We start from the raw sequence: 15,585 nt of genomic DNA on the forward strand, positions 1-15,585 counted from the left end.
CTGGTTTCAACAGCCCGTCATATATTTTCTCAACCTGAAACTGTGGATTCTGGCTTTAGGCACCGCTCCTTTCCAAACAAAGAAGGTCTGCTTTTTTCTGTCTTACATATTGAAGTTCTGGGTAGGATGTCATTTAGGAAAAAGATTATGTTGCTTAAAAATATAGGAAAAAAAATCAAAGTCTTTAATATCAACTATTAGTTTCACTTCATTTCAAATAATTGGAGAGAAGAAAGAAAATGCAGCCAAACATGACTGAAATGCTGTAAGACTGAAGGAGAGAAGAAACAGTACTGCAAACAGGAGAAGGCTTGGCCAGCATCACCTTAGTTAGCAAGATTGTGTTGGGCAGCCAGGCAGAGCCAGCCACTTATGAGATACCCACATTACAGGGCCATCATCGTCAAACTATGCTCAAAATGCCTCCACTTTTCTTTAGTTGTATTTCCTATCTTGATAAGATCTTTTGGTCTTTCCAATGATGTAGAATGTGCCACGGGTGCTACTAGCCAGGGCAGTCTTCACAGTTGGTAAAGGATTTACCAGGATAGTTGTAGGTAAAAAAAAAAAAAAAGGCAGATTTTTTAGAGAAAGTATGAAAAAAGTATGAAAATATGTTGCAAGGTTGCAACAGGCAGCACAGCAGAGAAGGGGCTGTCTGCAAAGAAACAGGCTGGAGGGAAGTCTAATAGGGTCATGCTGGAAGGGCTACCTACAAAACAGATGTCGTTGTGCCCACCGATGTTTGTGATTAGCCATCTCTCCCAACTGTTCATTGTTCTTCTCCACTTGGGGCCCTCCCCAACATGGGGCCCCTTCCTCCTTGTTACTTACTTATCCAGACTCCACACAACCAACAGCATTATGGCCGCTTGTTTCACAATGTGTGCAGTGGATGTCACACTGTTATGACAGTTTCTGACAAACCTTTTTTGCTGATGGAGAAATTGGAGGAATGTTATCCCTCATTCTATCATCTCTCACAATGCTTAGAAATATCTTACCACACAGATATCTTTTCATTTGTTGATACTTTTGCCGATTATGAACTTAAGCATGTTAGTTGGAAATATTTCTGCTATACATTGAGAGTAAAAGGAACAGAGTATGACCACCGTAAAGATGGGCACATACATGAAACCACAGGGAAGTACATCAAAACATTAACAGTGGGTGTCTCTGAGTGATGGGCTATGGGTGATTCTTTTTCCTATTGGAAAGTTAACATTTTTGAGAAGAGATTTGACTTTTATTAAGACAAAATGCTGGCCGGGCGCAGTGGCTCATGCCTGTAGTCCCAGCACTTTGGGAGGCCAAAGAGGGTGGATCACGAGGTCAGGAGTTTGAGGACCAGCCTGGCCAACAGTGAAAGCCTGCCTCGGCCAGGCGTGGTGGCTCACTCCTATAATCCCAGCACTCTGGGAGGCTGAGGGGGGCGGATCATGAGGTCAGGAGATCGAGACCACGGTGAAATCCTGTCTCTACTAAAAATACAAAAAAAAATTAGCCAGGCGTGGTGGCGGGCGCCTGTAGTCCCAGCTACTTGGGAGGCTAAGGCAGGAGAATGGCATGAACCCGGGAGGCAGAGCTTGCAGTGAGCCAAGATAACGCTACTGCACTCTAGCCTGGGCAACAGAGTGAGATTCCGTCTCACAAAAAACAAAATAAAAAAAAAAAAAACCCGTCTCTACTAAAAACACAAAAATACAAAAAATTAGCTGGACATAGTGGTGGGTGCCTGTAAGTAATCCCAGCTACTTGGAGGCTGAGGCAGGAGAATCACTTGAACCTGGGAGGTGGAGGTTGCAGTGAGCCAAGATCGCACCACTGCACTCCAGCCTGGGCAACAGTGAAAGACTCGTCTCCAAAAAAAAAAAAGACAAAATATTACATAATTTTATAGGTGATTTCAGAACCTATTTCCTGATATGCTTATGATTTTTTATATTCACTGGCTGTAATGCCTAGCTGTTTTTTCTACCATGCTTCAAAACAGAAAGCACTGATTAACATGTCTTTTAAGAATTTTTAAATCTAGATAGATGATAATTTTTTCCTACAAATGCTGTATAGTTTCTCCCAGTCTTTCATTTCATCAAAATACTTCCTTTTTAGAAGTATTTGTTTTTACCTTAGCAGTTCAAATACTGACTCTCCAAAGGAACTTATAATAACATATAAGAACAAACTTTCTGGGATTCAGTGCTCCCAAAGTATAAAAATAATGTATCAATTAATGTGTGACCAGCTCAATAGCTATTAATAAATCATACATCCCATGCTCATCATAAGTATCTAAATAACATTTTGTTTTGATGAATATCATGTTTTAAATATACTTAAGAATTCTGAGAAATGTGTAACAACTAAAGTGTCTTCTCTAATTGTAAATTTCATTTCGCTTACATTAAATTTCAATTACTATATTCTTAGCAATCAAATTCAAATTCTTAAATCTCAAAAATGAATGAGGACTCAAAGAAAAACATCAGACATCTATGTTAAATTTGTTCTTCGGCTTTCTTTCCGGCACTTTCATATTTACTTATCATATTGCCTACTTCACTTGCTCAATGTCCATACCCAGCCAGATCGGCAGAAGAGGAAAGACAAGAATATCTTGTTTGAGGGCAATGACGGAAAGGATCTCTCCCCTTCTCTGTCTCTCACACACACGCAGACACACACACACACAGACACACACGAGACACACAGACACACACACGCAGACACACACGCAGACACACACGCACACAGAGTAGAGGAGGGCTCTTCTGCCCAGATCCTCATTTGGAATTCAGAACATTTTTTCCCACAGAAATAATAAGAAACTGTAATATTATAAGTACATAGTTCAGCTTCATTATGGGTTAAAAGAAGGGTTTGTGGGCTGGCATGAGAATACACCAGTTTATAACATTGTATACTTGGGAAAATTTCATTCTGAAGTCTAAACTGCTATTTTTTAGAAGAAACTGTTAGAGCACCCTGGGATGTGTGGGCCTGGGACTGTTTGCCTTTGGCACGGCTATGCTCCGAGCTTTGGAGGAGCCAAGGAAGAAAGGCCTAGTTCCTGATCTTAAGGCCTTTGCAGTGTGCATTGGGAGACATAGACTGCAATGAAAAGATCATTATTGCAAGAGACAAATGGCATGGAGCCACATTCCCAGGTAACATTTTAGTACATTCATCTATGTATTCATTCAAAATCATTGACTGTATAGTATTATATAGTATAGGGCTTCCCAGCTTCATAGTTTAATTATCTTTCTTTTAATCTCTTTCATTAATATATTTTAAATGTTTTTCTAAAATAAATAATACATAATTATAGTAGAACATTAGAGCACTACAGACTTATTTGTAGTGACAAAATCACTAGGAAAAACTTGAATGTCTGTTTATAACTAAGTGATTGAATTAACTGTGGTTGATCCACTCTCTGGAATGTTATGTACCAACAAAAATGAACAAATTGAGAATATCTGTTGACTGGGTGCAGTGGCTCACACCTGTAATCCCAGCACTTTGGGAGGCCAAGCTGGGTGGACGGCTTGAGCTCAGGAGTTTGAGACCAGCCTGGGCAACTTGGTGAAATCCCGTCTCTACAAAAATACAAAAAAAAAAAAAAAAAAAAAAAAATTAGCTGTGTTGATGGCATGCACCTGTAGTCCCAACTATTTAGGAGGCTGAACTGGGGGGATCACTTGAACCCGGGAAACAGAGGTTGCAGTAAGCCAAGAGTGCACCAATGCACTTCGGCTTATGCGACAGAGTGAGATCTTGTCTCAAAAAGAAAAAAAAAATCTGTCGATCTAGAAAGAGGACAGGATGTATTGTAGAATGAAAGTCAAGGTGCAAAGAAATGTTCATATTATAATCTCCTTTTTGCAAAGGCAACAGTGACACCCCCCAAAAAGTTTGAATTAAAAAAAGATAGAAAGGTGGACATGCCAAGCTATTAATATTGGTTACCTTGACGACAGGTCGGTTATTAATTCTTCTTATATTGAAAAAAGTAAAATTTTTAAAACAAAATGAAAATGTGAAAATGAAAAAAATTAAAGAGAAAATAAAATCATTAGTTTCTGATTTCTGTTTTATTAGGGTGTGTGTGTGTGTGTGTGTGTGTGTGTGTGTGACCTGCCCTGGGCAATTAATTATAATTTTTTTTTTACTGCCAACTATGTTTATATCACTTCAAGGGCCTTCTGGCAGAAGTCCCTTTTTTTGTTTGTTTTTTCGAGACAGAGCCTGGCTCTGTTGCTCAGGCTGGAGTTCAGTGGTGCAGTCGGAGGTCACTGCAGCCTCGACTTCCCAGGCTCAAGTGATCCTCCCACTTCAGCCTCCCGAGCAGCTGAGACCACAGGCATGTGCCACCACACCTGGCTAATTTTTTGTATTTTTTGTAGAGACAGAGTTTCACCATGTTGCCCAGGCTGGTCTCAAACTCCTGAGCTCAAACCATCACCCACCTCGGCTTCCCAAAGTGCTGGGATTACAGGCGTGAGCCACCACATCTGACCGCGGGAGTCCTTTTACCCAAAGCCACCCAACAGACCCACGCAGAGACTTTTAACCAGCAATCGTCTCAGTTCCCTCTGAGGCTGCCGGCTCTCCCTGTGACAGCAGCCCATCTTAGCCCTTCCTGTGTATCTCTGCTGCCTAAAGGATGAGAGTTTCCTAAAGTGTAGAACTGTGAGGGGTGGAGGGACATTCCTCTCATGCTGGCCTGAATCCTGCACCTACTCTGGAGGTCTTTTGCCTTGTACCATGGAGTTCGCCTACATCACCTTGGAGAACCGACCCAGCACCTTCCAGGCCGGCTGGATGCATCCCCAGGAAGGAAGCCGCTGGTGGGGCCGGTCGCACTGAGTGCGCTTGGAGAACAAAGTGCTGTGTACATTTCTGCTCAACACTACTCTAAGCCCACAGCGCCAGTTCAGAGGCTTTGGGAAGAGCAGGTGCCTTCATCCAGTTTCCACTGTACCTCTTCTGAGGTACAGGAGATAGAGGTCCCTCATTTCAAGGTGACACTGGCATCAGTCAAGCACAGAGCTAACCAACTGCCAATCGTAAACAAGGAAGCCAGTGAGGACGCCCAAGGAAAGGCTCAGAAAGCTTCCGCCAGGGAGTGGGATTTGAGCTCTACCTTACAGAACAGGTTGAAAATAAAGAGCAGAGTAATCAAAAGTAGATTTATGTGTGTATATGTATCTGTTGCTAATATCCAGCCTTAAAAATCCTTGACAGTGGCCTTCAGACTTAAACATCTTCTCACTCCACCGAGAGCACCAATCTGACAAACGCATTCGGTCCTCTAGTCCAATCCAGCTCAGTTTTCAAGCCAAGGGGATTTTGCTGAATTATATATTCAAGATATCAGTAGAGTTATAAAAGAAGGGTTGTTTCCCAGTTAAATTAGGGATGGTAGGAGGAATCCTAGATCCAACATGTGGAAGAAATATGTGCATTTAATCAAATCTCTAAGACAGCTCTTCAGCCTCTGAAAGCATAGATGGAAAACTATCTCCTTGTGATACTTTAACAGATTCCTTAGGAACGAAAGAGAAAAGTTACAGTCAGTAACTTTTCATGTCAGTGCCCGCAGACATGAATTCCTTGGCCCCTCTTATAGCATTCATCAGTGGATGGGCTGACGTAATGACAGGCTCACTCATTCATGGTCACATGCAGGATGTACGGAAGAGTAGCTTCAAGTTATTTGTTTTGTTTTTGGTTTTTTGTTTTTTTGAGACAGAGTCTCACTCTGTCGCCCAGGCTGGAGTGCAATGGCACCATTTTGGCTCACCGCAAGCTCCATCTCCCGGGTTCATGCCATTCTCCTGCCTCAGCCTCCCGAGTAGCTGGGACTACAGGCTCCCGCCACCACGACTGGCTAATTTTTTGTATTTTTAGTAGAGACGGGGTTTCACCGTGTTAGCCAGGATGGTCTCGATCTCCTGACCTCGTGATCCGCCCGCCTCAGCCTCCCAAAGTGCGGGGATTCCAGGCGTGAGCCACCGCGCCCGGTTATTTGTTAACTCAGTGTTTCACGTGCGAGTTAATTTAATTACATGGCTATGCCTATTCCGTAACACCAAACATCTGGTGAAAACTAACGAAGACAATGTCTAATATCCAGATGTTTACCTTGTGGTCACACAGGCAGAACACCTGTGCACTAAAGTAGGATTCTACCCAGATGCTTGGTGGTATGTGTCCATAGCCCTTTTTCTATAGAATTCATCTCTTCCAGTTAGCCAATGTAAAGCCCAAAGTAGATTAAAAGTTTGTTTATCTCTAACTTTAGGTTTTAAACTTTAAAAAACAAAGGAACTACAGAAATCCATGATATGGTGAGCCATGTTTTCTGCTATAAAAATGTAAGAGACCTGGTTTCAGAATGGCAGAGTAAAGACATACTCACCGGCTGCCCTGTCTCAAAAATAACTCAGAAACAGCAAGGAGAACAAGTCACGGAAATACACCCCATCCTTAGGAAACTAAGAAATATCTGTAAACATGAAATGAGAAGACACAATTTTGGAAGAAGGATAAATATTTAAGGTCATGGATATCCCAGTTACCCTGATTTGATCTTTGCACATGTATGAATGCAACAAATTATCACATGTACCCCCCAAAATATGTACATCTATTATGTGTCAATGAGGAAAAAAGAATTTGGAAAAAGGAATGACAAATGACTTAGCAGAGAGAAAGAAAGTCAAACCTCATTCCCCACAAAGGGAGTTGAGGGGCTTTCTATGGGAAGTGAGCTAATTTTCCACATAGAATCTTCAAAGGCAAGGCACAGGAACAGGGGAAACTGAACAGAAGGACAGCAGGATTAAGCTAATAGGGAACAGTTAAGTCTCTCCAATTCTCAACCTCCATCCAGTTCTCAAGTGGCTGGTTGACTCCTCTTGCTGCAGATACTGAAGAGGACAAAAATGGAGTTTTTTCCAGGCAAAAGAATTGAGGAACAGTCAGCTTAGTAAATAGTGAGATATCTCCATCCCCCTCCCACTGCTCAGACCCAGAAAAGCAACCAAAGTAAAATCCTCAGAAAAGAAATTGCAGGATGCTATGCCAGAGAAAATACTTGCAAACTCATGATATGTGGAGACCCTCAATTTTCCTCAGTGGAGCTGGTCCCTCAATTTTCCTCAACGAAGGCCACCAGCATCATAAGCCCAACACATGTACACAGAGCTTTCTGGTCAGCCTTTTTGATTTCTTCTTCTTATTATTATTATTACTGAGACAGGGTCTTACTCTGTCAGCCAGGCTAGAGTGCAGTGGCATGACCACAGCTCACTGCAGCCCCAACCTCCTGGGCTCCAGTGATCCTCCCACCTCAGCCTCCCAAATTGCTGAGATTACAGGCATGAGCCACTGCACTGGCCCTTGGTGCCTTACTTTTAAAAAGTGACCCCTCCACCCCCGGGTGAAGAGACACTCAAGGAAAAACTCTTACATGACCAATATGAAAACAAACAGAATAGAAGAACCAGAAAAAAGCAAGACGATACAAGGAAAAAGACTGCAAAAAAACTTTAATTAACCTCGTTAGTGATATGAGAGAACATATTGCATCTGTGAAATAAGAGCAAAGTAATATAAAAATGAATAAGTAGAGAACAAAGAAAAGCTCTTAGAAATAAAAATATGATAGAAATTTAAAATTCAATAGAATAATTGGAAGATGATATGATTTGACTCTGTGTCCCCACCCATATCTCATCTCAAATTGTAATCCCCACGTGTCGAGGGAGGGACCTGGTGGGAGGTGATTAGATCATGGGGGTGGTTTCCCACATGCTGTACTTGTGTTAGTGACGGAGTTCTCACAAGATCTGATGGTTTAAAAGGATGGCACTTCTCCCTTTGTTCTCTCTCTCTCCTGCTGCCATGTAAGGCCTGCCTTGCTTTCCCTTCACCTTCCACCATAATTGTAAGTTTCCTGAGGTCTCCCCAGCCATGCATAACTGTGAGTCAAATAAACCTCTTTCATTCATAAATTACCCAGTCTCAGGTAGTTATTTATGGCAATGTGAAAGTGGACTCATACAGAAGGTAAGGTCAAGTAAATCTCATATAAGATATAAGGAAATAATAAAGAAATGGGCAGTATCCAAAACAAACAAATGAAAGAAAGAACCAAGGAAAATGGAGGCTCAATCCAAGGGATCCAATATCCAACGGAAATTCCAGAAAATGAAAATTTAGATGACAATAGACAGGAAGTTAGCAAAGACATAAGAACGTTTCCTAAAAAATTTCCAAGAGCATGATTTTCCAAATTTAAAAGGCATCCCAATGTATAGCACAACATTAGAATGAAGATCAGAAGTGGAGATTAAGACCATCATCACGATAAAAACTAAAGGGACCGTTGGCCATGAGAGAGTAAAAGCACTGGACTTGAAATCCTGGAGAAAACAACTAGAAAACTGGACAAAACATATAAAGCAATTATTTTCAGGCATTAAGTAATAAGCAGCACAAGACTATGATCCTTGAGAAGAAAGAAACAAACGAAGTAAGCCCTGTGATCATCTATGACAGAGGCAATTTTTGTACTGCAGTTGCAATGATGGGAGGACTCAAAAAGAGCCAGGAAAGGGAGTTGAGAAAACAAACATCAGAGATCAGATAGGCTGAGGCAGCTGGAAGTTGTGAAGCAGAGTTCTGGAAGGGAAGTGATTATATAGAGTATGTCTACTTGAGCGTTTGCTGAGTATTGGGCCGTGATTATACAGAGTATGTCTACTTGAGCATTTGCTGAGTATTGGGCCGTGATTATACAGAGTATGTCTACTTGAGCGTTTGCTGAGTATTGGGCCATGTATGTGGACAACAATATTCCACTCTGCTGGACAAAGAATGACTAAAACATGCTAAACTAAATATTCCCAGAGCTCGCATGGGCCTTAGAATTGATCGAGCTCCTGAGAGCCAGAATGGAGAGGCCTTACTGATTATCCAAGGTATTCATGTCTCTCTGGTAAGGCTGAACAATCTCTGGACTGAAAGCTATTTTAGTCTTGCCTGAGCAAAACTAAAAAACAGGTCTCAAGGGATGACTGATCTGCAAGTATAACTGCCTGCCTAAACAAAACCAAAATATTATGAAAGTAAGATAAAAAAACAAGTAAACAAAAATCCAGACACACAACAATGTAAAATTCACAATGTCTAAAATCCAATAAAAAATTACCAAACATGTCAAAAAGTAAGAAAATATGACCCATAATCGAGAGAAAAAATCAATCAATAAAGACAATCACGGATAAAAGCCAGAGATGATAGAACTAGTAGATAAGAATATTTTTAAAGAGCTACTATGATTGTGAATGCATATCTCAAGGAAAATATGAAGCTAATGAGGAAATAAATGGAAGATTTTCAAAAAAGAACCAAATGAAATTTCTAAGATAAAAGTACACCATCTGGGCCAGGCGCGGTGGCTCACGCCTGTAATCCCAGAACTTTGGGAGGCAGAGGTGGGTGGATCACGAGGTCAGGAGTTCAAGACCAGCCTGACCAACATAGTGAAACCCCATCTCTACTAAAAAAAAAAATAGAAAAATTAGCCGGGTGTGGTGGCAGGCACCTGTAATCCCAGCTACTCAGGAGGCTGAGGCAGGAGAATGGTGTGAACCTGGGAGGTGGAGCTTGCAGTGAGCCGAGATCACACCACTGCAATCCAGCCTGGGCAACAGAGCGAGACTCCATCTCAAAAAAAAAAAAAAAAAAAAAAAAAAAGTACACCATCTGAAATGAAAATTTCACTTAGTAGAGCCAGTGCTCAGATCTTGGTTTTTAAAACCATTCTCCAACAAAAGGAACCAGGCCTCCTTGGAGAAATGACTGATTTTAGGACTGGGGCAGGAAATATACAAGATGAGCCTGGAGCATCTTATAGTGCCAGAAGTTAAAAAGTGCTAATAAAAAATGGTAGTATGTAAGAAAGTGCTAAAAAGTAAAATGTCAGAGGAACACAGTAGCAAACTAAGGATAGTCAATGCTGTAAAATTTTGAGCATTAAAATAAATAAAGTATAGTCATCCCTCATTATCTAAGGGCAATTAGTTTGAGGACCCCATGGATGAGGAAATTCACAGATACTCAAGTCCCTTACATAAAACAGAGCAGTATTTGTATATAACTTATGTGCATCCTCCTGTATACAGTAAATCATCTCTAGATTACTTATAGTACATAATGCCATGTAAATTCTATGTAAATAGTTGTTATACAGTATTTTTATTTGTATTATTTTATTGTTATTTTTTATTTTTATCTTTTTAAAAAAATATGTTCAATCTGCAAAAATCACAAGCATTCTTTATACCAACAACAGGCAAGCAGAGAGGCAAATCATGAATGAACTCCCATTCACAACTGCCACAAAAAGAATAAAATACCTAGGAATACAGCTAACAAGGGAAGTGAAGGACCTCTTCAAGGAGAACTATAAACCACTGCTCAAAGAAATCAGGGAGGACACAAACAAATGGAAAAAATTCCATGCTCATGGATAAGAAGAATCAGTATCGTGAAAATGGCCATACTGCCCAAAGCAATTTATAGATTCATTGCTATCCCCATTAAACTACCATTGACATTCTTCACATAATTAGAAAAAAACTATTTTAAAATTCACATGGAACCAAAAAAGAGCCTGTATAGCCAAGACAATCCTAAGCAAAAAGAACAAAGCTGGAGGCATCACACTACCTGACTTCAAACCATGCTACAAGGCTACAGTAACCAAAACAGCATGGTACTGGTATAAAAACAAGACACATAGACCGACGGAACAGAATAGAGATCTCAGAACTAAGACTGCATATCTACAACCATCTGATCTTCAACAAACCTGACAAAAACAGGCAATGGGGAAAGGATTCCCTATTTAATAAATGGCACTGGGAAAACTGGCTGGCCATATGCAGAAAATTGAAACTGGGTTGGGGTGATATGGTTTGGATCTGTGTTCCCACCCAAATCTCATTTTGAATTGTAATCCCCAAAGTTGGAGGTGGGGCTTGGTAGGAGATGATTGGCTCATGGGGGTGGCTTCTCCTGGCTTAACACATCCCCCTTGGTGTTGTCCTAGCAATAGTGGGTGAGTGAGTTATTGTGAGATCTGGTCATTTAAAAATGTGTAGAACCTTTCCCCTCTCTCTCTTCCTCCTACTCCGGCCATGTAAGATGTACTGCCTGCTTCCTCATTGCCTTCCACCATGACTGAAAGTTTCCTGAGACCTCCCTAGAAGACAAACAGATGCCAGATTCATGCTTCTTGTACAGCTTACAGAACCGTAAGCCAGTTAAACCTCTCTTCTTTATAAATTACCCAGTCTCTGGCATTTCTTTATAGCAAAGCAGATATACAGAGTATATCTTCACAATTTTTCTATAAATCTATGACTATTCTAAAATAAAACTTTATTCTTCACGATTCACTGGATAGGATTAGCAGAAAATTAGACAGAAAAGACACAGGGACAGAAACTCATAGTAATCGAATGTGTCCAAAATAAAGCACAGAACTTTTTTTTAAAAGACTGAAAGAAAAAATGCACAGAGACTGAGTGACTCTCGGGACAATGCAAAGCTGTCTGAAAAATATATATAACTGAAGTCTCAGAATGAGAAACAGAGGCCAGAGAAAAATATTTGAAGAAATAATGAACAAAATTTTTCCAAGTCTGATGAAAGTAATTAAGATCACAGATCCAAGAAACTCAACACACCATAAGCAAGGTAATCAAACAAATAAAAAACACAATAAGGCATATCATAATCAAATTTCTGAAAACTCATGATAAAGAGAAAAATTTTTAAAGCAGCCAGAGAAGAAAATAACATATTATATACAAGGAACAAAAATAAAGTTAACAGCAAACTTATCGGAATCTTGCAAGCCAAGACAATGGGATGACACTAGTTCATAATTAGATCCAGGAATTTAATTTTAAAAGCCCTGAACATACAACTTAGAACTTAATCAAAGAGGTAAGATTTGCATACTGGAAGCAATTAGGAAATGATTCCAGGGCAATGCATCAACTTGCATCTTATACGTAGACAAATTATGCCACTGATTTCCTAAAGTAACCTTTTGTCCAAGACAGAGTCCATAGTTGCAACAGGTTGAATGGTGACCCCCCCAAAATATATGTCCATGTCCTAACACCCAAAACCTGTGAATGCAATCTTCTATGGAAAAAAAAGAGTCTTTGCAGATATAATTCAATTAAGGATGTTAAGATGAGAAGATCATCCTGGATTACATGGGTGGGGGCCCTAAATCTAAGGACATTATGAGATAGAAGAGAAGACGCATACCCAGAGGAGAAGTCCATGTAAAGATGGAGGCAGGGATTGGAGTGATGCAGCCACAAGCCAAGGAACTGCAAGAGCCACCAGAAGCTGGACGAGGCAAGAAAGGATCCTCCCTAGAACCTTTGCAAGGATTAGGGCCTTTTACTGGCACCCTGATTTCAGATTTCTGGTCTCCAGAACAGTAAGAGAATAAATTCCTGTTTGTTTGTTTTTTTTAACCACCAAATTGTGGTAATCTTTTACAGCAGCCCTAGAAAACAAATACAATCAGTCATTCACCCTGAATCTCCCTGAATCTATGACCCCATAAGAAATTCAGCAAGTTAGATCAGGTTTGAAGCCAAGAATAAAGGTCATATTTATGCTTTTGCTGTGTACTTAACATTAATAACTAATGATTAAATGCTTTTATCTTTGTAAATACACAAAATGAAGTAGGTATAGAACCTATAAAGGGGTAAAGAACTCACAGCACAAGTCCCAGAGTCTGACGAGCGAGCAGGCCAGGCCTCTCTGCAGGGTGTTCACTCTACTCAGACTTAGGACATGTCACTTTCCCCTCTTGACCTCCATATTCAGATCTGGGCATAAGAGGAAGTGGGTAAAGACCCCTCTAGCTTTAACACTCCTCCAATACAGACAGAACTCTGAAACCAGAACAAGAAGCTGAGGAATGGTGAATGGAGCATTCTCACTGGCATGATGGAGGAACCTGCAGATCTGGCTATTAGGATGGTGTCTCGCCATGTCAATGCCTCTGCAGAATTGGATCCTAGCTTTCAAATCAGACTCAAAACTGATCTTTAGTGTTGGTGGGTTTGTGGGGTTTTTGTTGTTGTTGTTGTTGTTTGATTTTTTTTTTTTTTGAGACTGTTACTGACACAACAGCTTCTGGTGGAACTCTTTCACGGAGAGTATGGGGGCTTCTTTGGCCAAATTGGCCGAGTGCAGGTTCCATCTGCTTGGCAGCCTCTGTCTGGGCCACAGCGCGTCCACAGCATCCTGCTCTTCTACAGAGGTTTCTTCAGACATTGCAGTGTGTCTGGCCATGTCATTTGTCACCGGTGTAAAAACAACAGAGCCTGCAGCTGCTGGCTGAGTGCCTGCAGCAGAATCCTGCTCCTCACAGGTGCAGCTACAAGGCGCCCCTGCTCCTTCCAAGAAGACAGGCACAGGGACGGCCAGATCCTACTCTCTCAGCCACGGCAGTCTGTGTGGGCAGCAGGCCCGAGCTCTACCCCAGGACCTTCTTCTCGACTTCCCTTCCCCCAATTCCCACCAGGCAGTAGCACAGCTTCTCTGGCACGACTGGGGACTGGGCGCAGGGAGGGGAGGGGTGGCCAAGGGCCTGAGGCAGGTGGGCGGCCTGTGGCCCCCGAAGGACACCTGCTTTGGCTAAGACGCCTCCTAGGGCTGCCCCAGCCTGGCTCCAGGCCTCAGCCTCTGCTGCCTCCAGGAGCCCCAAAAAGTTGTTTCAAGAAGGGATGAGACAATGCTGAAGATGAAGCCCACAGCAGCAGACCATTCACATCAATTTGCAAGGAAAAAAAAAGTCTTGTTCATGCCCCCAATTAAAGGGGACTGTCAATTAACAGCAGAAACAATAGCTAACACTACAGACATCACAATTGGTTCAGCTTACACAATTCTGACTAAAAAATTAAGTTGAGTGAACTTTCCCCTTAATGGGTGCCAAAACTGTTGCTCCAAGATCAGCTGCAAAGAAGAGCAGAGTTTTCTATGGAAATTTCAAACAAGAGGGATCAATAATCTGAAGCGTTTGTTCAAAGAATTGTAACAGGAGAGGAAACATGGTTTTACCGGTACAATCCTGAAGACAAAGCACAATCAAAGCCATGGCTACCAAGAGGTGGAAGTGGTCCAGTCAGAGCAAAAGAGGACTGGTCAAGAGCAAAGGTGACCATTCTGGGGAATGCGCTAGGCATTTTGCTTGTTGACCTTCTGGATTCCCAAAGAACAATAACATCTGCTTATTATGATGAGAGTATCTTGAGAAAGCCAGCCAGAGCCTTAGCAGAAAATTGCCCAGGAAAGCTTCACCAGAGACTCCTTCTCCACCCGGACAATGCTCCTGCTCATTCTGCTCATCAAACAAGGGCATTTTTGCAAGAGTTTTAAAGGGAATCATCAGGCATCCACCTTACAGTCCTGATTTGACTCCTGACTTATTTTTGTTCCCTAATCTTAAAAAATCATTAAAAGTCCACATTTTTCTTCAGTTAATAATGTAAAAATGCCTCCATTGACATGCTTAGATTCCCATGACCCTCAGGGGTATTTAGACTATTGGTTCTATTTCTGTAGAGAACCCTAATACCATATATCAATAGGTATGTGTGTCTGTGTACACACACACACATATATACACCATATATATGTGTGTATACACACATATATATATACCACAGAAAGAGAGAGAGAGCAATTTATTACAGGAATTGGCCCATGTGTTTATGGAGGCCAAGAAGTCCCACCACCATGTGTAAGCTGGAGAAGTAGGCAAGCCAGTGGTATAATTCAGTTCAAGTCTGAAGGCCTGACAACCAGGAGAGCTGATGATGTAAGTCCTGGTTCAAGTCTGAAGGTCCAAGGACCAGGAGCACTGATGGCTAAGGGCAGGAGAAGATGGCTGTTCTCATTCAAACAGAGAATGTTTGACCACCCTTCCTTTGGCTTTATGTTCTATTCTGGCACTTCCTCAACAGAGTGGATGATGCCTGCCCACATGGATGAGAGAAGATCTTCTTTATTCAGCCTACAGACTCTAATGCTAACTTCTTCCTAAAATACAGTCACAGACACACCCAAAAATAATGTTTTACCAGCTACCTGGGTATCCTTTAGCCTAGTCACTGACACCTAAAGTTAACATATATATGTGTGTGTGTGTGTGTGTGTGTGTGTGTGTGTGTGTGTGTGTGCCTGTATTCTGTCACAGAGTCATTAACAGAACTTAAACATATGTCTACTTGCTTTTAATGACATTATCTCACCTGCTTTAAGTAGAACGACCCATTTTAGAAATTTGGACAAAGCCAAGTATCCTTAGCTTTTTCCACCAAAGAAAGAGAAAAAAGCACATGGCGCTAACATTCTGAGTATAAAGTATGTGCCGGGAACTCTTGGATACTTAAACACTCTCTCATCCTGAGAGGTCATCCGTTTTGAGGCTGGGGATGGAATTCCCAGTGTCGTGTTTTA

This window comes from Homo sapiens, chromosome 4 (genome assembly GCF_000001405.40).
Source record: "Homo sapiens chromosome 4, GRCh38.p14 Primary Assembly".
NCBI lineage: Eukaryota > Metazoa > Chordata > Mammalia > Primates > Hominidae > Homo > Homo sapiens.